This window comes from Homo sapiens, chromosome 4 (genome assembly GCF_000001405.40).
Source record: "Homo sapiens chromosome 4, GRCh38.p14 Primary Assembly".
NCBI classification, from domain to species: domain Eukaryota; kingdom Metazoa; phylum Chordata; class Mammalia; order Primates; family Hominidae; genus Homo; species Homo sapiens.
In genome coordinates, this window is record NC_000004.12 from 187,636,578 (window position 1) to 187,663,280 (window position 26,703).

General features: G+C 38.2%; 2 long non-coding RNA genes across 4 annotated transcripts in view; both read right to left on the minus strand.

Annotated features, from left to right (window-relative positions):
• LOC105377604 (uncharacterized) overlaps nt 1-9,787 on the minus strand; it is an 81,735-nt gene extending 71,948 nt beyond the window's left edge. For all 3 annotated transcript variants that reach the window (XR_939614.3, XR_939612.3, XR_939613.3), the window contains exon 1: nt 9,633-9,787. This is a non-coding gene — a long non-coding RNA (uncharacterized LOC105377604). The remainder of the gene's footprint in view (nt 1-9,632) is intronic.
• The window catches only part of LINC02492 (long intergenic non-protein coding RNA 2492), a 139,764-nt gene that overhangs the window by 103,700 nt on the left and 9,361 nt on the right, over nt 1-26,703 (minus strand). The gene's annotated exons all lie outside the window — the stretch shown is intronic.

Below are 26,703 nucleotides of genomic sequence, written 5' to 3' on the forward strand. Positions count from 1 at the left end.
TGATTCCAATACATCTTTGGGGCAACATCTCTGACTATACATTGAGAAACACTACTTATTGCAATTCTTGTTTATTTATTTATATTCTACATTAGCCTGTAAGCTAGCTCTATCAGGGTTGTGCCTCTATTTAAAAATCTTACTGCTGTATCCCCCGTACTTATCAGGCACTTTGCAAGTAACAGGAATTCAACAGATGATGGAGTCATTGAATGAACAGCTTTTGTCAATGAATGAAATGTTCAGGAGCACTTTCTTTCTTTCTTTCTTTCTTTTTTTGACGGAGTCTTGCTCTGTTGCTAGGCTGGAGTGCAGTGGCACAATCTTGGCTCACTGCAATTTCCACCTCCCAAGTTCAAACTATTCTCCTGCCTCAGCCTCCTGAGTAGTTGGGACTACAGGTGCATGCCACCACACCCAGCTAATTTTTGTATTTTTAGTAGAGATGGGGTTTCGCCATGTTGGCCAGGATGGTCTTGATCTCTTGACCTCATGATCCGCCTGCCTTGGCCCCCCAAAGTGCTGGGATTACAGACGTGAGCCACAGTGCTCAGCTGAGAAGGAGCACTTTCAAGGGAAGGAAAATAACCCTAGAAATGTCAGATTTGTGTCTACATAATTAATTTCTACTGTTATTCCAGGAATGTGACCAAAATTTATTAGATCTGTGCTTAAGAACAGTAAAGAACTTAAAAATTATCAAAAGCCTTAAAATGTGCATACAGCAATTCTAATTCTGGGAATTTATACTGGCAAAACATAAAAATTAGCATTAGTATTTAATTACCTTGAGTTTTTATAATGGTAAAAATTGTGAATGACCTAAATGATCAATAATAGAGGATTGATTTATGAACTTATGGTATATTTATACAATAAACTATAATTTAGACATTAAATCATATTTTTAAATGTTATGTGTATTTTTTTAAAAACTTTAAGTATATTGAAGGTTTATTACATAGGTAAACTCACGACACAGGGGTTTGGTATACAGATAATTTAATCGCCCAGGTACTAAGCCTTGTAGCCAATAGTTATTTTTCTTAATCCCCTCCGTCCTCCCTCCTCCCTCTCTTCACCCTCAAGTAGGCCCCAGTGTATGTTGTTCCCCTCTTCTTGTCTATGTATTCTCATCATCTAGTGCCCACTTGTAAGTGAGAACATGTGGCATTTGGTTTTCTGTTTCTGTGTTAGTTTGCTAGGGATAGTGGCCTCCAGCTCCATCCATGTTTCAGCAAAGGACATGATTGTGCTCCCTTTTGTGATTGCATAGTATTCCATCGTGTATATGTACCACTTTTTTTATTCAATCTGCCATTGATTCCACGTCTTTGCTATTGTGAATAGTGCTGCAATGAACAAACACATCCATGTATCTTTATGGTAGGATAATTTATATTCCTTTGGGTATATACCCAATAATGATATTGCTGGGTCAAATGGTTGTTCTCTTTTTAGCTCTTTGAGGAAGTGCCACACTGCTTTCCGCAATGGTTGAACTAATTTACATTCCCACCAATGGTATAAAAGTGTTCCTTTTTCTCCACAACCTCAACAGCATCTGTTATTTTTTGACTTTTAGCAATAGCCATTCTGACTGGTGTGAGATGGTATCACATTGTTGTTTGAATTTGTACTTCTCTAATGATCAGTGATACTGAGCTTTTTTTCATATGCTTTTTGGCTGCATGTATGTCTTCTTTTGAAAAGTGTCTGTTCACGTCCTTTGCTCACTTTTGATGGGATTGTTTTCTTTCTTGTAAATTTGTTTAGGTGTCTTATAGATTATGAATATTAGGCCTTTAACAGGTGCATACTTTGCAAATATTTTCTCCCATCCTGCAGGCTGTTTACTCTATTGATAGTTTTTCTGTGCAGAAGATCTTAAGTTTAATTAGATCCCATTTGTCAATTTTTGCTTTTGCTGTAATTGCTTTTGGTGTCTTCATCATGAAACTTTTGCCATCTCCTACGACCAGAATGGTTTTGCCTAGGTTGTCTTTCAGAGTTTTGACAGTTTTGGGTTTTACATTTAAGTCTTCAATCATCTTAAGTTGATTTTTGTACATGGTATAAGGAAGGGGTCCAATTTCAATCTTCTGCATATTGCTAGCCAGTTATCCCAGCACCATTTATTAAATAGGGAATCCTTTCCCCATTGCTTGTTTTTTGCAGCTTTGTCAAAGATCAGATAGTTGTAGGTGTGTGGCCTTATTTCTGGGTTCTCTATTCTGTTCCATTGGTTTATGTGTCTGTTTTTGTACTAGTACCATACTATTTGGGTTACTGTAGCTCTGTAGTCTAGTTTAAAGTGGGGTAACATGATTCCTTTTTTGTAATAGTTTTAGCAGGAATAGTACCAGTTCTTGTCTGTACATCTGGTAGAATTCAGCTGTGAATCCATCTGGTCCTGGGCTTTTTTTGGTTGGTAGGATATTTATTATTGTAAAATCATATTTTAGAAGTGTATCTACTGATATGCATTTAATAATATATAATAGACAAAAAAGATTACCAAAAACTACACACATAATTTCATTTGTTAAATTTATATTTTATACATTTAATATATTATATAAGAAACAGTGTTCACTGATATGTACAATCATATTCATAATTTTTATCACCCTAGCATAAGATAATTTTGTATATTCTCTTTCTGTTTTTTGGTTTTAGTAATTATTATTTTTTTACTCTGAAAGTGTGTTTCACAAATTACAAAATGTTCCTAAATATTAAAGTATGTGGAAACTAAAGAGAAGTATTTGCTCAAATTTTTACTGAAATCTTCTTCATCCATCACTTCCCACTAACCCAGTGTTTTTCTCAGGAGGCCCACACAATTGCCTATTATCAAGAAAAGATACTTTCAAAAAAACTGAAGGGAGCGGTTATATGCTGTGGCACAGCAATTTCAATATAAGTTGTGGATATTTCCCAAAGAATAGTGTCTTGTTCATGGAAATGCACTCTTGCTTAATCAGATGATGACCTGGGATATGGTGTTAACTAGATTAAAAAAAAGGCCATCTGTGCCTGAGGCTCTTCTGGTAGGAAAAACTTGGAGCTTAAATTGTTTTCATTACTAGAATTTGCATGACAGTGGTTTTTAGTAACATACAAAGAAAAACATGGTACTTAAAAATACTATCAAAATACTTTTCTTACTTTAAAAGAAAAAAGTTCTACTTTTTTTTTTTTTTTTTTTTTTTTTTTTTTGAGACGGAGTCTCCCTCTATAGCCCAGGCTGGAGTGCAGTGGCGCGATCTCGGCTCACTGCAAGCTCTGCCTCCCGGATTCATGCCATTCTCCTGCCTCAGCCTCCCGAGTAGCTGGGACTACAGGCACCCGCCACTGCCCCCAGCTAATTTTTTGTATTTTTAGTAGAGACGGTGTTTCACTGTGATCTCGATCTCCTGAACTCGTGATCCGCCCGCCTCGGCCTCCCAAAGTGTTGGGATTACAGGCGTGAGCCACTGCACCCGGCCAAAAAGTACTATTAGATAGTGTTACTAAATATTAAAAGGAACATTGTAAGAATTCTTACACATCTTATAGTGTGAGGAAAATATCCTCTTATTCTTAATTGTGTTATTTTAGACTTACTGCCTTTACATTTTAAACCTTTCCTGACACTTTTTTTTATTATGAATACATTAGTGTTATGTACTTTACCAAAATTATTGCTTTAGGGTAAAAACACTATTGAATAGTTTAGACTAAGGAATTTTGAAGGCTCATTAGTTTTGTTCATATAAATTGCCTATGAAATTAGGGATTCCTGAAAGGATAGTGGTATCTTTTGAGTCAATTGTGTTGTCAGAAATAATAATAATAATAATAATAACTTCACAAGCCCATGCTTCGGATCCTAGCTCTGCAGCCATTCTGTGACCTCACAGGCGTTGGACCCTACAGTCACTGCTATAGAAGTCACATCTGCATCACAGACCTTAGAGCAATGGTTGCTCCACACAAACCCACATTCTGGACCCCGGTTCCATAACAGCTCTACATGTGCCAGTGCCTACAACACAAGAGCCACTACTGCTTTAGAAGCACCCATGCCCTGGACCATACAGAAACTATAGGTATCCACATGCCTTTGTTTCAGACCCTGGCTTTCCAGCTGTTCCATAAGCATCTGTTCATTGCACATTGAGACCAACACTGGAGCCGGGGTGCCTGCATGTTAAGCACCAGTGCCACTGCCACCATGAACATAACCATGAACCAAACCCAACACCAAGAGGGATCCCCTTGGCCATGACTTCCCACACGGGAGAACAAGAAATCAGGAGGGCTCCTACCACCTTCACCAACTCTTAACCCAACAGCCCTCACCACCACTGTGGACATCTGCAGCCTTGGCCACTGAGGACCCTTGCAATCTTCAACGGATGGAAATACACAGAGACTATGCTTTTGTATCTTCACTGGAGCTGGAATTGCTGCATCCCACCCATCAGTACCCTCATACCACCTGTAGGTGAAGGACTTTCCTCACAGAAAGTAGCCTGTAAATTCTGGAATAGGTGACTGCCCCAGCAAATATGCAGACATCAATGCAAGACAAGAAAAGCAGAAAACATCAAGAAAACATGACACTACCAAAGGAAAACCATAATTTCCAGTAGCCAGTCTTCCATAATGGAGATCTACAAATTGTCACAGAAAGATTTCAAAATAAATGCCTTAAGAAAGCTCAAGCTACAAGCAGACTCAATGATATCAAGAAAACAATACATGAAAAAAATGGGGTAAATAAAGAGATATAAATAATTTTCAAAAACAATAAAACAAATTCTGAAGCTGATGAATACAATGAATGAAATGAAAAAAATACAACAGTGACAAAGCAGACTTGATCAAGCAGAAAAAAAATTTGCGAGCTCAAAGACAGGTAATTTGAAATTACCCAGTTAAAGGAAGAAAAAGAAAAAAAGAGTGAAAATGAGTGCAGAAAGCCTATAGGATTTATGAGATACCATCAAGCAGCCCAATTTACACATTATGATAATGTAAGGAGAAGAGAGAGAAAAAGAAATAATATTTAAAGAAATAGTGGCTGAAAATTCCTGAAATCTGAGGAAATATATATACATCAGGATACATTAAGCGCAAAATTTCCCAAACAAATTTAACTCAAAGAGGTCTCCACTGAGGCACATTATAATAAAATTTTTAAGTATCAAAGAAAGAGAGATTTTGAAAGCATCAAGAGAAAAGAGACTCTTCACATAAAGGGGAAATTTCATTAGACTACAGATGATTTCTTAGCAGAAACTTTTCAGGCCAGAAGAATAGGCTGATAAATCCTAAGTGCTAAAATAAGAAGAGAAAAACTACCAAACAAGAATACTTTACTGAGCCAATCTGTCCTTAAGAAATGAAGAAGAGATAAAGACTTTCCCAGACCAAAAAACAAACAAACAAACAAAAAACAAATGAGGGAGTCTGTTACCACAAGACCTGCCTTACAAGAAAGTTCTCCATGCTGAAATGAAAAGACTTTAGTAAGATGAAAATATAAGAAAATATAAAAATCATTAGTAAAAATAAATACATAGTCAAATTGAAAATATTCAAATACTATAATAGTGATAGGTAAATCACTCTTAACTGTGGTATAATGGTTAAAAGACAAAAGTATTTTTTAAAACTATAGTTAATTTTTCAATAAACATACATAATAAAAATATGTAAACTGTGAGATCAAGAAACATAAAATATATTTAGGGGGAGTGGAGGAAAGAAAGGGCAGAGTTTTTGTATGTGATTAAGGTTAACTTGTTATTAGTATAAAATAGACTGTTATAAATCTAATGTGTTTTGTGTTAGCCTCCTGGTAATTGCACAGGAAAAACCTATAGTAGATACAGATAAGATAAAGAGTAAGGAATCATCAGATATCACTACAGAAAATCAATAACAAAGGAAGTGTACAAGAGAGGAAGAAAGAAGCAAAAGAACTACAAAAGAGACAGACACAATTGAAAAAAGGCAATAGTAAGTCCATGCCTATCAATACTTACTTTAAATATAAATGGATTAAATTATTCAATCAGAAGACATAGAGTGGATAAAAATAAACAAATGTGCACATATGCACACACCCACACAAACCAAACTATATGCTGCCTACAAGAGACTCACCTCAGCTTTAATGACATTTATAGGTCAAAAGTGAAGGGATGGAAATGGAAATGGAAACCAAAACAATGGAGAGGTTGCTATACTTACATCAGACAATACAGACTATAAGTCCAAAACTGCCACAAGAGACAAAGAAGGTCATTATAGACAGACAAAAGAATCAACAAATCCAGAGTATATAACAATTGTAAATACATACGCACACAACATTGAGGCACCTACATATATAACATAAATATTACCAGAACTAAATGGAGAAATACACAACACTACAACAAATAGTAGGTAAATTCAACACCTTCACTTTCAACAATGAACATACTTTCCAGAAACAAAATTAATAAACACATTGGATTTGAACTACACTCAGACCAACTGTCCTAACAGACATATGCAGAACACTCCATCCAACAGTAACTAAATACACATTTTTTTCAAGTGCACATTAAACATCCTCCAGGACAGATCATAGTTGAGGCAAAAAAAAAAAAAAAAAAAAATAGGCCATAGCACAGGTAAAAAAATTGAAATCATATCAAGTATTTTTCCAACCACATGATATGAAACTAGAAATCAACAATAAGAGAAAAACTAAAAATTTACAAATATGTGAAAATTAAACAACACACTCCTAAACAACAAATGAGTCAAAGAAGACATCAAAAGGGAAATAAAAAGATTGTAAAACAAATAAAAGTAAAACATACCAAAACTTATGGGATGCAGCATAAGCAGTACAGGAAGTTTACAGTAATAAACACCTATATTAAGAAAAAAGAAACATCTCAAATAAATAACCCAACTTTACACCTTAAGAAATTAGAAAGAACAATCTATACTTAAAATCAGCAGAAGAAAAGAAATAATAAAGATCAGAGCAGAAATAAATAGATACTTAAAAAACAATGTAAAGGATCATGGCTAGGCACACTGACTCATGCCTGTAATCCCAGCACTTTGGGAGGCTGAGGTGGGTGGAGGTCAGGAGTTCGTGACTAACCTGACTAACATGGAGAAACCCAATTTCTACTAAAAATACAAAATTAGCCAGGCGTGTGGTGCATGCCTGTAATCCCAGCTACTTGGGAGGTTGAGGTAGGAGAATCACTTGAACCTGGAAGGCAGAGGTTGTGTTGAGCCGAGTTTGCACCATTGCACTCCAGCTTGGGCAACAAGAGAGAAACTCTGCTCAAAAAAAGAAAAAAAAGTGTAAAGGATTAAGAAAACTAATACATGTTTTTTGAAAAATTTAAAAAATTAACAAACTTTCATTTAAATTAACTGAGAAAGAAAGAGAGAAGACCCAAATAAATAAAAGTACACATTAAAGAGGAGGCCTTTAAATGATATCACAAAGACACAAATTACTGAAAGAGACTATTATGAACAATTATATACCAACAAATTTGATAAGCTAGATGAATTTGGGTAAATTTCTAGAAACACAAAACCTACCAAAACTGAATCATGAAGAAATAGAAAACTTGGACAGACTAATAATAACTAAGGAAATTTAACCAATAATAAAAAATCGCTCACCAAAGAAAAACCCAGGACCTGATAAAATTTACTATTTGGTAGACCTCACTGTTGAATTCAACAGTGAATTCTACTGAACATTTAAGGAGAATTAATGTAAGTCACTTTCAAATTCATCCAAAAAATTGAAAGATAAAGAAAATTTTAAACTAAGGCTAATATTAAGGTATTAAGGCTAATATTACCTTAATACCAAAGCCAGATAAAGACACGAAAATATAAAATTACAGGCCAATATCCCTGAGGAACACAGAGGCAAAAATCCTTAACAAAATATTAGCAACCTGAATTTAACAGCATTAAAAGGATCACATACCTTTATCAAGTGGTATTTATCTCTGAGATGCAAGGATGGTTCAACATACCAAAATCAATAAGTGTGATACACATTAACCATATGAAAAGTAGAAATCATATGATTATCTTATAGATGCAGAAAAAGTATTTAACACAATTCAACATTGTTTCATGATAAAAGCTCTCAACAAATTGGATATAGAAGAAATGTATCTCAACATAACACAGTTTATATGTAACAAGCTCCAAAATAACCGTATACTCAGGAGTGAAAAGGTGGAAGTTTTTCCTCAATGATCAAGAACAAGGTTGCCCACTCTCACCACTTCAACTTAACATAGTACTAGAAGGCTTAGTTAGGGCAATTAGGCAAGAAAACAGAAAAAAAAAAAGGCATCTAAATTAGAAAGGAAGATGTAAAATAGTCTCCTGTTGCAAATGATATGATCTATATATAGATAATCCTGAAGACTCCACCAAAAACACTGTTAGGACTAAGAAACAATTTCATTAAGGTTTCAGGATACAAAAGCAACATACAAGAGGTAGTAATATTTCTATACACTAACTGAAACTGCTTGAAAAATAATTTTTTAAATTCCATTTAAAATAGCATCAAAAATAATATATTTGGAAATAAATTTAAACAAGAAGGTGAAAGATCTGTACACTGAAAACTATAAAACTTTGATAAAGGAAATTGAAGAAGATGCAAATAAATAAAAAGATATTCCGTGTTCATGATTTGGAAAAATTGATGTTGTTAAAATATCTACACTATCCAAAGCAATCTATAGACTCATTGCGTTCCATACCAGAATTTCAATGACATTTTTCACAGAAATAGAAAAACGATTCTAAAATTTTTATGGAACCACAAAAGACCCCTAATAGCTAAAGCAATCTTGAGCAAGAAGAACAAACCTGGAGGTATTACACTTTCTGATTTCCAATTATGTTACAAAGATATAGTAATCAAAACAGTATGGTATTGGGATAAAAATTAGACATATAGATCAATGGAGCAGAATAGAGAGCTTAGAAATAAACCCACACATATGTGGTCAACTAATTTTCCACAAAGGTGTCCAGAAAAAACAATGAAGAAAATACAGTGTTTTCAATAAATTATGTTAGGAAAACTGGACATCCACATGCAAAAGAATGAAATTAGACACTTATCCTACACCATATAGAAAAATCAACTCAAAATGGAGTAAATAATTAAACTTAAGACCCAAACCCTTCAACTTCTAACAGAAAATACAAGGGAAAAACTCCTTGATATTGGTTCTGGCTATATATGTATTTTTTGGTTACAACCCAAAAGTTTCAGGCAACAAAAGCAAATATAATAAGTGGTACTACAAAACACTGAAACATGTTTACACAGCAAAGAAAACAATCCAGAAAATGAAAAGGTGACCTACAGAATGGGGGAAAATAGTTACAAACCAATTATCTAATAAGGGGTTCATATTCAACATATGCGATAGCCCCTCAACCCCCATCCATAGTTTCACTTTCCATGGTTTCAGTTACCCATGGTTAACTGCAGTCTGAAAATATTAAATGGGAAATTCTCAAAATAAACAGTTTATAAGTTTTAAATTAGCATGATGAAATCTCACTCTGACCTGCTCCATTCTGTCTGGGATGTGAATCATCTTTTTGTCCAACATATCCATGCTGTATATGATATTCATCTTTTAATCATCCACATGGCCTGCTCCTGACATCCAACCAGTAACATTATCATGGCTCAAAGATCAGGAACACCCACAGCAGATGATCCTCCTTCTGACATATGATCAGAAGATCAATAGTAGCCTAATGCTACATCACAATGCCTGCATTATTTACCTCACTTCATCTCATTAGGTAAGCATTTTATCATCTCACATCATCATAAAAAGGGTGAATGCAGCGCAATAAAATATGGGCCAGGCATGGTAGCTCACACTTGTAATCCCAGTACTTTGGGAGGCTGAGATTGGTGGATCACTTGAGCCCAGGAGTACTAGACCAGCCTGGCCAACATGGCAGAACCCTGTCTCTACAGAAAATACAAAAATTAGCCAGGCATGGAGGAACATGCCTGTAATGCTAGCGACCTAGGAGGCAAAGGTGGGAGGATCGCTTGAACCCAGAAGGCAGAGGTTTCATTGAGCCCAGATCATGCCACTGCCCTCCAGCCTGAGTGACAGAGTGAGACTCTGTCTAAAAAAAAAAAAAAAAAAAAAAAAAAAATTTAGAGACCATATTCCATATTCCCATAATTTTAATTACAGTATATTGTTATAACTGTTCTACTTTACTGTTAGCTATTGTTCATCTCTTACTGTCCCTAATTTATAAATCAAATTGTATGGTAAGTATGTATGTATAGAGAAAAAAGCATAGTGTATACAGAGTTTGGTACTATCTGCTGTTTCATGTATCCACTATAGGTACTGGAAGATATACCCCCAGAAAAGTAGAGACTACTCTATAAAGAACATATATAACCCAATAGCAAATAAAGCAAATAGCCCAATAAAAATATAGGCAAAGGAGCTCAATAGACATTTTTCCAAAGAAAGCCATGCAGATGGCCAACAGGAATATAAAAATGTGCTCGGTGTTACTAATCCTCAGGAAAATGCAAATTAAAACAACAATGAGATATCTCATAGCATTCAATAAGACAGTTATTATCAAAAGTCAAAAGATCACAAGTGTTGTTGAGGGTATGGAGAAAAGGGACCCCTTGTACACTGTTGGTGGGAATTTAAATTGAAAACAGTATGGAAGTTTTTCAAAAAATTAAAAATGCAATTACCATATGATTCAGCAACCCCACTTCTGGGTATATACCCAAAGGAAATAAAACGACTATCTCAAACAGATCTATGCACTCTCATAGTCATAGCAGCATTATTCATGGTCGCTAAGATACAGAAACAATCTAACTGTCCATCCACAAATGAATGAATAAAGAAAATGTAGCATATATATATATATATATATATATATATATATAATGAAATATTATTTAGTCTTACAAAAGAGGGAAATCTTTACAACACAATGGATGAACCAGGACATCCTGCTAATTTAAATAAGCCAGGCATAGAAAGACAAATAAATATTGCATGATCTCACATGTGAAATATAAAAATGAATAATTAAATAAACTTATCACCTCACTTCATTCCTATTTTTCTGTATGTGGTAAAAACATCTCAGATCTATCTATTCTTTTAGCAAATTTCAAGTATACAACACCTTATTATTAATTTATAGTCATCATGCCATACACTGGTATGCAAAACTTATTTACCTTAAAGCTTGCATCTTTTGACCACCATCTCACACCACACACAGAAAAAGTAGGTATGAGGTGAGGTGATGGATATGATAGTTTTATTGTGGTAAGAATTTCACAATACATAAGTATATCAAAGCATTATATTGTATATTTCAAATATACACAATTTTGTCAATTATACCTCAATAAAGCTGGAAAAAAGAAATCTAATAGCTCCACTTAAATGATGTTCAGCTTCAACGACTTTGTTTGCCAAAAAATTTTGTTAAAAGGTGTTACAGTAATAATCATCTTCTTTAAAATGAGCACTAAAACTCAGAAAATTAATATAGATGTACATAAAATAATGTCAATTTCTTAAATCCTAGAGCATTTGGTTTTTAAAACAAGAGCTGTGATTTCTATTTTGATTGGGGCTCTGATAAAAGTCAGCCAGATTCATTTGCTGCATAAATTACTCACAGATCATTAACAGAAGTTTTTTCTGCAGCTGCAATAACTCATCCAGGCTGTTACAGAACTATGTAACTCACTGCAGGCAGAACTTCCTAAATGTCAACTTAGGAACCAAAGAGGTTTCATGGATCTATATGAAGCTTTAGTACCATCCTGGGTTTTGAACACAGACACTCCACAGACCTGTGACTGTATTTACAGTAGCATAATGATTCAGTTGCTATCTAACATCTAATCTCCAGCCTCTAAATATGCCACAAATGCCACTGTTCACTGCTTATGTGCTAGACTTGCCCACCTTGTCTCATACCTACTTTTAACTACTCTTCTTTATGCTTCTCCCCATAATTTTATGCTAGGCAGTCACCTCCATTGGAAATATTTAGAAAGAGCCAAAAATATATTTAAATGTAAGAAACTCAAGGAGGAATGCACAATCAAGGAGGAATTATGAGGAAATGAGTAGGGATGCAAATAATTCACAGGGTACTAAATATTCTTCCATCTTCCAATTTCCCTTTATGGTACTTTTCCATATTCATCCTCAACTTGAGCTTCCAAGATAATAATGCAATAGCAATTCATATCCCTAGATTATCCACAGATAAAATAGACTGTAGCAGCTGCTGTCCTCTGCCCAGGTCCCCCTTCAGTCTTCAAGGATGTAGTCCCTCAGCTGCGTAGAGTGCTATGGCTGACAGTCCTCAATGATCACCTCTCTCTTGGAATTGCCTGTTGGTGGAGAGAGCTGCCTCTCTTGATGTCACAATCCTTTCCTAAGGGAAATCTGTTTCCAATGCCTGTTGAGGAAGCTTGGCCCCTCACTCACTCAGGTGCAGCTTTCAAAGACAGCTATGAGGGGGAATTCTCTCAGTGTGCAGGGCTTCACGCACTACACTTGGTCATCAAATTCATGTTGAAAGAGATGCAGCCTCAGCCTCAGTTTGGAATATACACAGACGGGTAGGTGCTGAAGGGCACAGACAGATCATCAGAGGCCTAGTGGGAGAGAAATTAGGAGATCATAGACAAGGATATCTGGAGTAGTGTTGTGTAGATGACACTATGGGAGAAGACACAATGTGGGAAGATCTTTCAGTTGCAGGTTAACACCTACCAGAAATCATCTATTTTGGAAGAGGCACTAGACAGCCAAGTAGATGGACTGACTCAGCCACTTGATGCCAGCCAGTTTCTGTCATTGGCCATTCCAGTGCTGCTGAAATGAACACATGAAAAGAGTAGCTTTAGTGTCAGAGATGTTAGGTTATGCTCGGGCCCAACAGCATGGGCTCCCATTCATCAAAGCTGGTCTAGCTCCAGGTGCTGCCGAACAGCAAACTTGCCAGTAACAAAGATGACATCTTCATCCCCAATATTGCATCATTTCTTCAGGAGATCATCCCATCACTAAGCGGCAAGTTCACCACAGTCTACTTCTTTCATCTTGCCAGGGTCAGTGGTTCATTTTTGACAGTAACAAATTCTGAACATGAATTTGCTTTTTCTGTCCCCATGGTTTCAGGCAACACTGTTATCTGAATGCTTGCAGAGTGTCAGATCCAACAACAGCAATTTCACTTATAATTATGTCAGGCAGAGGGACAAACCTTAAAACCAAGCAGGTCCATCAGTGGGTCCATAATGACAGGATCTGCTGGTCATATCACAAGCCACACCACTCTATTGCATCAACCTGATAGAGTGCTGAAACAGCCTGTTGAAACACAACGGAGGTGTAGGCCCAGACATGCTTCCCTGTGAGAATGAGACAGCACTCTCCAGGACATAGCATCTATCCTGAATCAATGAGCATTCGCGGGCTCTGGGTTCCCGATAAACAGAATACATAGATGAGAAACCAAAGTCTAGAAGCAAGAGTGGCCTCTGTTACCAACATTCCCAGTGACCCACTGGAGAATTTGTGCTTCTTGTTCCTGCAACTCTGGGGTCTGTGGGTTTAAAGATCTTGGTTCCCAAAGGAAGAACATTTCTGCCATGAACACATCATCATTTCCCTTGAATCTAAGCTGTGGTAGCTTCCTGGACACATTAAATTTCTCATGGCAAAGGACAAAAGGACAAGAAAAGCAGTCACCATCCTAACAGAGGTAATGGATTCTGGCCCTCCTTTATGCCCCACCTCAGGAGGAGGAGCTGCTGCTACAGGGAGGAATATGCTGGCAATCTACCTTTGGAAAGTCCTTGACCAATTGTTTCGGTAAATGGACAAGTGTAGCGGCCCCAGCCTGAGGCAGGTATAGTGCCCAGGGTTTCATGCCAGTAGATGACCCATCCAGAAGAGCAGAGGTGATGTCTGAGGGTGAGTAGAATCTAGGATGGACAGTAGAAGAGGGAGACTGTGTACTAATTGTGGGTCTTGAGACAAAATGCAGTGGTCAGGCCTGTAATTTTCCTTCAGGATGCTCACTGGAATCCCTGGAGAGGCTACCCCAACATTTAAGTAAAGAAGCAGAACAAGTACAGCAGGGAATGAGCTATAGTAGACATAGCTGAGCTGCCCAGATTCTCCCGCAGGATTGAAGGGCCTGTTCCTCCCCTTTCTCCTCCTGGCACTGGTAGATATCAGCCCAGAGATGTGCAGTGTACTCTGAGCACCTCGAGTTTGGGGCTTGACTTACAGTGCCATGGTGCTTAACACACTTGAAGAGAGGGTGAACGACTGTGTGATAGAATGACTGTTTTAATTACAGCGTAGCAGGGTGTTGACTCTTCTCTTTTGGCTTTGAGACAATGTTCTTGTTCAAGTCATGAAGTCACCTGTCTTTAGAATCACTAAGACTTGGTCCAAGATAACTTAGTTGACTCAAACACTACATTAATCATGTTATGTGACCTATGAAATAGTCTGCTGGAAAGCAAATTATGTCATTTCATTAAATCATCTTATCAGGGATGACCACAAAACCCATGAAATAAGCCACTTTTTCTTAATTTCTTTCATAGATTTCATATTATTCATAAACAAATTTTTAAGAAAGTAATTTAATTTGGGTACAAAAATAATTATATATTAAGATACACTGGATTTTATGTTATGATTGGAAAGTCATATTCATCTGGACGCATTTAGGTAGCAGCTGTAGGATCTTATGTAAGTTTCTGAACTTTTCTGTATTTTAATTTCTGGGCCTTGTTTGTTAAATATACCTTCCTTTTAAGGTTGATGTGAAAATTATATGAGTCAGTAAGGCACTTAAAATGTGCTTGACACAGAGTAAGCCGTCATGTTATTATTATTTTTGAATGCCTATCGTATGTCAGAGACAATAAGAAGGTTTCTCTTGGATAATTGCTTGTACACACATCATCTCATTTAATCCACACAATAACCCTAATGTATAGCTGTTCTTCATGTTACTTATGAGGAAAATGAGGGCCAGAAAAATGAAGCAATCGGCTCAAGGTCACACAGCTAGATAGTGGCCATGCTAAGGCAGCAAAGGTCAAAGCTAGAAGAAACAATCCTGTAGGTACCTTAGCAATTCTTCACAGTCTTTCTTTTCTTGGCTTTATTATGACTCTTTCCATCTGGCCATGTCATCTGTTTGGCCTATTCTCCAGAAGTCAAGAGATTAGATCTGAATCTCAGCAGTCTTGTCCTTGATGCAATAGAGAGCTGAAATCCTCTCTCAGAATACATATCAATATAGGCCGGGCACGGCGGCTCAAGCCTGTAATCCCAGCACGTTGGGAGGCCGAGGTGGGAGGATCACAAGGTCAGGAGATCAAGACCATCCTGGCTAACACAGTGAAACCCTGTCTCTACTAAAAATACAAAGAATTAGCTGGGCGTGGTGGTGGGCGCCTGTAGTCCCAGCTACTTGGGAGGCTGAGGCAGGAGAATGGCTTGAACCCAGGAGGTGGAGCTTGCAGTGAGCTGAGATCGCGCCACTGCACTCCAGCCTGGGCGACAGAGCGAGGCTCCATCTCAAAAAAAAAGAAAAAAGAGAAAGAATACATAACAATATAAAGCTTGATTCTTCCAGCAACTCTGGGAACCAACTCTAAGTTTGCTGATGAAATACCTGTTCCAGCTTACCTCTCAAATATTGCTCTCTGAATATTTTTTGTTGAATTCAAAGAAGTTTGCATGCTTTTATCCATTCGAGAACAAAATTTTCTGCAAATACACCTGAGACATACAATATATGCATGTGGATTTTTTTACTGAAAGCAAGTTTACTGCTCTATCCTTCCGTTTTTCTTCAAAGTATCAAGTTGTACTGAAGTTTGTTACCTCAGTGCTGAATGCCATTTTCTTTTTTTTTTTTTTTTTTGAGATGGAGCCTCACTCTGTCGCCCAGGCTGGAGTGCAGTGGCACGACCTCAGCTCACTGCAACCTCCACCTCTTGGGTTCAAGCGAGTCTCCTGCCTCACCCTCCCGAGTAGCTGGGACTACAGGCGCTCACTGTCATAGCCGGCTAATTTTTGTATTTTTAGTAGAGACAGGGTTTCATCATATTGGCCAGGCTGGTCTTGAACTCCCGACATGAACTGATCCACCTACCTCAGCCTCCCAAAGTGCTGGGATTACAGGCGTAAGCCCCTGTGCCTGGCCCATTTTTATATCATAAAATAAAGCTACATATTTATTTACCTATACTTTTCAAAGTATTGTCACATAGTTATTCTATCTAAAGCAAGACTTAACTTTCAATGTTCAATTAAATCATTCACTGCATTGTGTTTATTTAACATTATATCACCATTGGTTCACATTGTATGTCCTCCTTTGAACTGAGTCAAATATTAACAGTAAAAAGTTATCTTTTTGATAAAAGTTTTAAGCACACTAAATAGGAAATTTATAATGAATCTCAGTTATAGATCTGTTAAAATATGTTTTTAAAGGTATATTTCAAGTTTTCTATCAGAGAATATAGCAATCTGATGAGAGATATCTAGTGCCTCTTTATTAATAGAAAATGACTGAAGCTTAGTCTCACTCTTGATAAAATCATAAATAATTTTTTGAAAACCACATACAGATAATAATGAATGTCTACATTTATAAGAAGTAGAATAATGTTTTGTTATATCATCATCTATTAGAAACATAAAATTTTTTAAACTACAATAACTGTAGGTCCATGGACTGAGTTGAATTATTTCATTAGAAAATAATTTTAAAAGAAAGCCGATTCACTTATCAACATAAAGTATTGTGAAATGGAGTTAATATCTTACTTGTAATATTTCTAGACTTTTTAAAAGGGCTAATATTAAAAGAGAAAGAGAGAGAGAGAGAGAGAGAGAAGCTTGATTAGCCATCAGGGAAATGCAAATACAAACCAAAATTAGATACCACTTCACACCGAGCGTGAAGTGAATGGCTACAGTAGAAAAGACAGACAATCACAAGTACTGGTGAGGATGTGGTGAGATCGGACCCCTCATGTTCTGCTGGTGTGTATATAAAATGTGCAACTTCTTTGGAAAACAGTCTGGCAGTTCCCCACACAGTTAAACAGAGTTACCACATGATCAAGCAATTTCACTCCTAGGTGAATACCCAAGAAAAATGAAACCATGTGTCCACATAAAAGTCTGTACACAAATGTATACAGCAGCATTATTCATATAGCCCCAAAGTGGAATCAACCCAAGTGTCCGTCTGATGAAGGGACAAACAAATGCCCTCATTCATACTATTAAATGGAATACTATTCAGCAATAAAAAGGAATTCAGTACAGATACTTGTTACAACGTGAATGAATCTTGAAATCATGTTAAGTGAAAGAAGATAGTCACCAAGGATGGCTGTATGATTCCACTTATAACAAATGTACAGAATAGGCAATTTATAAAGACAGAAGCTAGATAGGTGATTACCCAAGGCTGGTGAAATGGGGAGATTTAGGAGCCCTGACTGAGTGCAGAATTTATTTTAGAGATCATAAAGAGTGTTTTAAAATTGACTGTGATGATGGCTGTACAACTCTGTAAATATGCTAAAAATAATTAAATTGTATTTTATAAGTGGGTAAATTTTGTGGTGTGAAGATTATATCTTAACAAAGTTGTTAAAAAAAGAGAAACAGTGAAGTGTGTCATACTTAAATGAAAAAAATCTTCATTTCCCTCCAAATTTATTTTAAAATCTTGCCAAAGTGTAGTATATGTAATAAATTGAACGATGAATAGTACTGGATTTTAATCACACTTTACTAATTCTTAATCAAAATATATGCTAGATGAATACTGTTCAATTTGTAATTACTTTGCATAGGCTTTTAAATAGTACTAAATTACTCTAGGTATGAAAAGTCTTTGAAATGAATATTCCACCTATAGAAATATATCCTTTGGAAATAATTAACCACATGTATAATTATTTCACTTCAAGAATGTTCACTAATAATGTTTCTGATAATAAAAATTTAAGATAATCAAAATGCCCAACATTAAGTATTAGTTTAGATAATTTCACATTATTTAAAGATTCAATATTCTCCCCTTTTAAAAAAGCTGTGAACGTACCTATTGAAATGAAAATGCTTATAATATGGAGTTTAATGACTAAAACAGTTTTAAATGAGCATGTACCGTGTGATCATTTTTCTTAAAGATATGCATGGAAAGTTATCTATTAATAGTAATGGTTGTCTCTGGGCAGTGTGAGCATATGATTATGGTGTGTCTCCTTTTATTCATCTATACTTACAAGTCTTTCCTATAATGAGCATCTATTGATTTGGTAACATGTAAGATATTTTTAATTTTAAAAAATAACCAAATCGCATTTTAATGTTAACAGCAAGCAGCACAAAGTACTATGTTGCTCCCTGAATATTTCACCAGAAGGGTTAACTTACATTACCCTGGAAGGAAGACAATAAGAAATGGTGAGCCTGATGGAATAGAGAGAGAGGCTGAGGAGTAGTTCTACCTGCCTGTTTTTCCATGGTGACAGTGGAATATTAATCACAGATGGATGAGACTTAACATTGCTCAGACTATCATTAGCTGTTTTCATCAATCACTGTCCAGTTATTGCTAATCCTCTACCATTCTCATCCTGTGGGGGGTGGAAAATGACAGACTGCGTGTATCAAGCAAGGTTCCCAGGTACAAGCAACAAGAAAAAAAAAATGAAGTTGGCTATGTTAAGATAAATGAATCAACTGGAAGTATGTAGAGGGCTCAGAAAACAAAGGTGATGTAGGGGAACCTGCTTAAACAACCAGTAAGAACAAAAGAAGTTCTAGAAGCCAAGTTGCAACAAATTCCTAGATGGAATGCCAATACCCAGGACCACTCTTAGGCCCAGGCAAGAAGGGCCATTGCCCCAGCTCTGGGTTTTAAAGAAACTCTGGCCCTGTGGCCTTGTCCCTAAGGCAAGAGTCTATGAAGTTGAGGATGCATGTTACCCAGATCCCAAGCCCTGCCTTGAGACCATGTTGGGACACGTATGACCCCAGGATTGTTTGCACAAGTAGTCCTTAACTCACTCAAAGCCTATGCAGTCCTCTTCACAGGCTCCACCCACTCGAACAGAAACTGCATACAGGTGGACCTAGGAGTAGCCAACATGCAGCTTTCTGTTGGGGGTTATGGATGAAGCTTAGATCTATAGGTCAGGCTGTCCACTTGTGTAGGCACAAATTTCTTACAGAGCAAAACACAGCCAAGAGCAAGAATCTAGGGGAAAAGGGCTCGCATACTAAGACCAAACACTGGAGGCCAGTATTCCCAAGCTTCCAGAATCCAGCATGCAAGCCCCAGGGAGCTAAGAATTCTAAACTCAAACATGGCCACCTGGGTTTTTATGAAGGCACATTTTTCCAGGGAGTAGAATAGATATACATATTATGTATATGATTAAGCAGTTTTTAAGATTAACCTACAACTTTTAAATATTTAGTTTTATGGCATGTGGACTTCCATGTATACAGTTGGGTCTTGCAAATGTCATCATTGCCAGACAAACCTAGCAAAGTCTAAGTATATGCTGGTCACTCCTTTATCTTTGCATTTCTTTTCCCTCAAGATACAAAGACCCAGAAAACAAATATATTCATCCCAGGTCATAAGTCACACCCTTGCTGCCAGGTCTTGAGAGAGGGGGATATGGCCTTTGGCAGCCTCTCCAGTGGGAGGCAGGGCCCTATTGACCCACAGGAACACACATAATGGCGATGACCTGCTCTTCTTCTATTAATAAGGAGAGAGAAGTGCATGCTGGACAGCCAAACAAGGCAAAACCCAAAGAAATATGCATTGTATTGGGAGGAAGAAGGCCATCCTTACTCAACTAGCTATATGAGGTCAATGACATTAAGCCTCTTTTTCTCCCTTATAAAATAACCATAAAAATCCCTACTTCATTGGATTGTTAACACCATTAAAAAGATAATATGTGTGAAAAAATGCTCTGCAAACTGCAAAGTGCTATACAAATTAGCATATTAGTGTTATACTCTTGGGAGAGCTCTGGCAGTTGCTAATCAAGAATTAAGAGAAATATGCTAATTAGAGGAGACACCTGACAATGATGAAGATAGGTGGCAGGTAAGACCCCACCTGCTTCAATGCAGCCCTATTCAAATCTTTACATTTTGTATGCTGCTACTCAGCCCCACATTACAATAAATATCTCCCACATAATCTGCACAATTTCCCTACAATAAATTGTCAAGCTTCATCTGGTCATCCCTATAAACTCAATATACTCTAAGCAGGTTGTTAAGTACATTCAAGGATTTCACAATGAACAGCTGAGATCCAGTTATCATTAAAATGAAGTGCTGACACTGGAATAAAGCCACAAGAAAGTGTTTACTGCTACTGCTGCTCTGGAATTATAATCATTTCTTTGCTTGGCCTTTAGAGGACTGAATCATCTGATGCATATCTATCTTGTTTAGTAATAAGATTTGAAACCTAATGTTGAAATGTCCATATCTATGTTTATTAGAACTAGAAACCAGGTCCACATTAAGCTCACAAAACCATAGCTTCTTTATTAATTGCCTACATTTATTATCTATGCTGGCTGCACACAATTTTATGAAGTGATAACTATTTTCCAGTTTAACAGAGTATGAGCTGCAAAGTGGAGAGTTTGGGAAGAAGCTTGACATTTAGTAGGAAGCAAAAGATAAGAGTGAAGTGTTCCTCTCCCCTCTCCCCACGGTCTCCCTCTCCCTCTCTTTCCACGGTCTCCCTCTGATGCCGAGCCGAAGCTGGACTGTACTGCTGCCATCTTGGCTCACTGCAACCTCCCTGCCTGATTCTCCTGCCTCAGCCTGCCGAGTGCCTGCGATTGCAGGCGCGCGCCGCCACGCCTGACTGGTTTTCGTATTTTTTTGGTGGAGACGGGGTTTCGCTGTGTTGGCCGGGCTGGTCTCCAGCTCCTAACCGCGAGTGATCTGCCAGCCTCGGCCTCCCGAGGTGCCGGGATTGCAGACGGAGTCTCGTTCACTCAGTGCTCAATGGTGCCCAGGCTGGAGTGCAGTGGCGTGATCTCGGCTCGACACAACCTCCACCTCCCAGCCACCTGCCTTGGCCTCCCAAAGTGCCGAGAGTGCAGCCTCTGCCCGGCCGCCACCCCGTCTGGGAAGTGAGGAGCGTCTCTGCCTGGCCGCCCATCGTCCGAGATGTGGGGAGCGCCTCTGCCTGGCTGCCCAGTCTGGGAAGTGAAGAGCGCCTCTTCCAGGCTGCCATCCCGTCTAGGAAGTGAGGAGTGTCTCTGCCCGGCCACCCATCGTCTGAGATGTGGGGAGCACCTCTGCCCCGCCGCCCTGTCTGAGAAGTGAGGAGCGTCTCCGCCCGGCAGCCGCCCCGTCTGGGAAGTGAGGAGCTCCTCCGCCCGGCAGCCGCCCCATCTGGGAAGTGAGGAGCGTCTCCGCCCGGCAGCCACCCCGTCCGGGAGGGAGGTGGGGGTCAGCCCCCGCCCGGCCAGCCGCCCCGTCCGGGAGGTGGGGGGCGCCTCTGCCCAGCCGCCCCTTCTGGGAAGTGAGGAGCCCCTCTGCCCGGCCACCACCCCGTCTGGGAGGTGTACCCAACAGCTCATTGAGAACAGGCCATGATGACAATGGCGGTTTTGTGGAATAGAAAAGGGGGAAAGGTGGGGAAAAGATTGAGAAATCGGATGGTTGCTGTGTCTGTGTAGAAAGAAGTAGACATGGGAGACTTTTCTTTTTGTTCTGTACTAAGAAAAATTCTTCTGCCTTGGGATCCTGTTGATCTATGACCTTACCCCCAACCCCTTGCTCTCTGAAACATGTGCTGTGTCCACTCAGGGTTGAATGGATTAAGGGTGGTGCAAGATGTGCTTTGTTAAACAGATGCTTGAAGGCAGCATGCTCGTTAAGAGTCATCACCACTCCCTAATCTCAAGTACCCAGGGACACAAACACTGCGGAAGGCCGCAGGGTCCTCTGCCTAGGAAAACCAGAGACCTTTGTTCACTTGTTTACCTGCTGACCTTCCCTCCACTATTGTCCTATGACCCTGCCAAATCCCCCTCTGCGAGAAACACCCAAGAATGATCAATTAAAAAAAAAAAAAAGAATTTGACAAAGTAAAAAAAAAAAAAAAAAAAAAAAAAAGGAGATTTACTAATGTGGAAGATTAATATGGAAGATTCCTGCTATATGTTCTTTTTTTTTTTTTGAGACAGGGTATCTCTATGTCACCCAGGTTGGAGTGCCTGGGTGCAATCATAGCTCACTGGCTCACTGCAGCCTCTACCTCCTGGGCTCAAGTGATCCCCACTGCCTCAGCCTCTCAAGTATCTGGGACCATAGGCATGTGCCACCATGCCAGGCTAATTTTTAAATTTTTTTGTAAAGATAGAATCTTGCCATGTTGCCCAGGCTGGTCCTGAACTTTTGGGCTCAAGCAATCCTCCCACCTCGGCCTCCAAAAGTGCTAGAATTACAGGCATGAGCCATCATGCCTGGCCATGTTCTCTATTAAATAAAAGCCTTCCATCTCTTTCTTCATTTCAGCCAGTTAAATTGAGATCTAAAGGCTTGAATTTACTATTTAATGCTACCTAATGACATTTCAGAGACTGGCTATAAAAAAGCAAGTGTTGAAAATTAACAAAAACGTCTCTACAAAGGAAATGAAAATGTTCCCTCTTCCTTGAACCAACAGAGAGAGAAATATCCTTTCACTTTATAAAATGAATTCCAAGACTCTGATTTGATGCAGCGTTAAATTGAAAACATTTAGGAAAATATCAATCTTGTTTTCTCCATTTCCATTTGTGCAAAATGGAGACTTGCTGACTATTCATAATTATCAACTTACTCTGTACTGTTTTCTATTAATGTGAATTCATTGGAAGTATACTTTGAAAAGGAGGTCATGTAAAACTCTTGTCCTGGGAAAATTACTTTCAAAATTAAAAAAAAAAAAAAAAGAGTGAAGTGTTTTGATTTAGGAGAAGATGTACATCCAAAGAGACTTCTGTCTTAGGAAACATGAGAATTTTGCTGTAAAGCTCAACCTAGATGCAAAGGAGACTAAAGACAAGCATCCCAGACAATTATAGACCAAGCATTGGGAAAGGAATAAGTTGGGACTGACTCATAAGACACTTAGATGAAGCTAGGACAATGGACATTACGTTAGCTAACCCTGAATTTGTGCTGGAAAGATTTGACAAAACCTAAACCTTATCTATTTCTTATAAGTGCAGAGAACAAATAGTTCAAAACACAGTATCTATAGATAACTCTGTAAAACAAAACAAATTTGTTGTTTGGTTAATTCTCCTCAAGACATAGGTTGCAACTGATATTAAATTTCTTCTCATAGACTATCGATTTACAGCAATGGATTGGTCAAGGAAGGATAAAGAAACTTGGAAAGAACTATCATGATACCTGCCCTGAGAAGCCAAAATTTGGTTTAACTTTGTGTTGTTTACTGTTTGGTTCTATAAAAGCTAAGTTTATAAAATATTGTATGACAGGTGAATTTAAATGTTACTAACCATCTTGGATGTCCTGCTCTTCTGCTGTACAGCAATAAAGTCTCTCTAAATGCAATGTTTGGGACAGAGTTGCTCTGGGAAATATAGTGGTTTGAAAGGTGGCTATTGTACCCAAGATGAATATGTTATTATCTCATTGGACATAGCATCAAATGTTATTTATGAAAATGCTTATCACTGCCACAGGCTTCTGGTCTATACCCATGAAGACATCGCTCAAGCATAGCACCTCAACAGAGTGAAAAGTGCAACCCAATGCTATAGTAAAGGCATCACCTAAAACTTCCTTGCCTCAGACACCTGAATGGCAGTGTCTTCACTCAGGTCCCCACTCAAATGTCACCCCATCAGCAATGTCTTCACCAATAGCACTGTATAAAATGGCAAGTCCACTCTCCAAACAAGTACTTCTTCTCCTTTCTCCACATTATTTATCTCCACCCCACTATGGCCATCTAATGAAGTCTGCATGTATTTGATTCTACATTAGTTTTCCCTCTCTCCCTATATTTTTGCATGTCCAGCTCCATGGACCCAAAAGTACAGTCTGAGCAAGATGTTTGAAACCACCTTTGCAAAAATTATGACATTGAAAGTAATCGGACATAGCTGAATCCATCTTGCTTCTAACCTCACATGCTGCCCTTGTTCACTTCTAGGCATAGGCCAAGCTAACTATGGGAGGAATTTGGTTTATAGTTTAACTTTAAACAAAGACAACCGTCCTTTCCTGAAACTAACTCCCTTCCCAATGGCTCCTATAGATACTACTATTGTAAAACCTAACATTGGTGTTTGAGCTATTTTTTTGACCCTACATTCTGATGGATCAGCTGGCACCACCTGGCCTGATAACCCATACCAAGAAACTGGTTTATCTGGTCTTGTGACCCTCACCCAGGAACTGACTCAGCATAAGAAGACAGCTTCCAACTCCAATGATTTCATCCCTGACCCAACCAATCAGCATCCCCATTCCCTACGCCTCTGCCCACCAAACTACCCTTGAAAAAACCTAGCCTCTGAATTCTTGGGAGGGCAGATTTGAGAATTATCTCCCATCCTTCTGCTTCGTTGGCCCTGTGATTATCAAACTCTTTCTTTGCTGCAAAACCTGCTGTTCTCAGTGAATTGGCTTTTCTGGGCAGTGGGCAAGAAGAAGTAGTCAGGCTGTTACACCTTCACAGCACTCAGTGATGGTTCTTAGATGAAAGTAACAACTTATAAGCACGTGGATCTGGATGAGTCCAGCATGTCCCGAGATGTGTAGCATGTTTGCGCAGTAGAACAAAGGCTTCAGGGATGTCTGGTTCACATGTGGCAGTCAAAAAAGTCACAATATTAAATTATAAACCTTCTTCCTTCCCCTTCCTTTTTTTCCTTTAGATTCTCAATAAGATTCTATTTTGAAATAAAATAGAACAAAGGCTGATGTGCTACTAACAAAACCTTTTGAAGGAAATTTCAAAACAAGAGCAAGTTAAGGCATGCCAATTTATTATCATACTCTTGGATTAAATTCCCACTTTTTGCCTGTATTTTCACATCTGTAATTTGGAGGAGTAACTTCATGGGTTGTTAAAACAGCAATTAATAACTGTGTGTTTTAAGTGTTAGTTTTAAATATTACTTTCTATGTAGCAAAAAGATTTCTGATAGTGCTATAATTCTCCAAAGAGTAGGGTCCTGAGTAAAACAGAATGTCACTGTTACTACTTGACGATTGTCTTCTGAAATAACATATTCAAACCCATGTACTTTACTTACTATGAAGCATTTTATGGCTTTGACGAAACCATTTCAACCCCATTCTTTCCCATGTTTTAAGGGTTTTTTTAGGTAGCTCAAACTCAGCACATCCACGAAATATCTCATCATCTTTCCCCCCACACTCTGTGTCTATACCTGAATTCTCTTTGATGAATAGCAAAATTTCCTTCAAGTTACTCTTACCAATAACTTTGGAAATATAGATTTGTGAAAGGAAAAGAAAATCTCAGGACCCCAAACTCTCTGTCAAAGGGAAAGCAAGTCACACAAAAAAACTGCCTTCCTCTTGTTCCCAAGCAGACAACTGTAATTTCACATGTGAAATGTAGATTTGCCAAGCCAGGAAAAGACATACTTGACCTTTTCCACCACTCCTCTCTTTTCACATGTCAAACAAAGATTTTTGTGAGTGCTAATCAAAGCCTCGCAAGAATGTAATGACCACACTGCCTAAGTTCTACCTCCCCCCCACTTTTTTTTCTTTCCTCCTTCCCCTCCTGCCTGCTCTTTCCCCCTGTAGTATTGAAGTTCTCAAAACCTTCTTTGGAAAAAGCACAGTCCACATTCCAGGCACATCCTCAACTGTGGCAATATACACCTCTAAATCTGTGGCAGACACTTTTGGTTTACAGCATGATGCATCCTGATGGATGCATTCTGAAGTCAGATTGAGCTGCATCTAAACTCTGCTTTACCAACACCTGTGCAATCTCAGCCAAGAGCTCGAAACTCTCAGAGCCTCCAGTTCCTTCGTCATTGAAGTGAGTACAGAGTACCCACTCATAGGTTCCTTGTGAAGAGTAAATGAGATAATGTTCACAAAATACTTAGCATGCTACTGGCTTATAATATCCATTCAATTAAAATTGATGATGATGATTCAGGCTTTAATCATTTCTTGCACTGATGGCTTTCTTGTCAGTTTTTCTTTCAGGAACATGCAATTCTTCCTACTCTGGTTTTGTTTCTCCGCATGTCTACAGAGCTGCCAGAGGGTTACATTTAAAGTACATGACTGTTCATGCCAATCTCCTACTGTCCTTCAATGGCTCCCCAAGGCTTTCTTTCTAAAGTAAAAACTCCTTTCATTAGCACGCAAGTCCCTTCACGGATTGAGTACCCTCTGTTCCTCTAACCTCATCTCTAACGCTCTCAAGACTTGCCATTTCTGCAACAGACAGATCCAACTGCTTTGA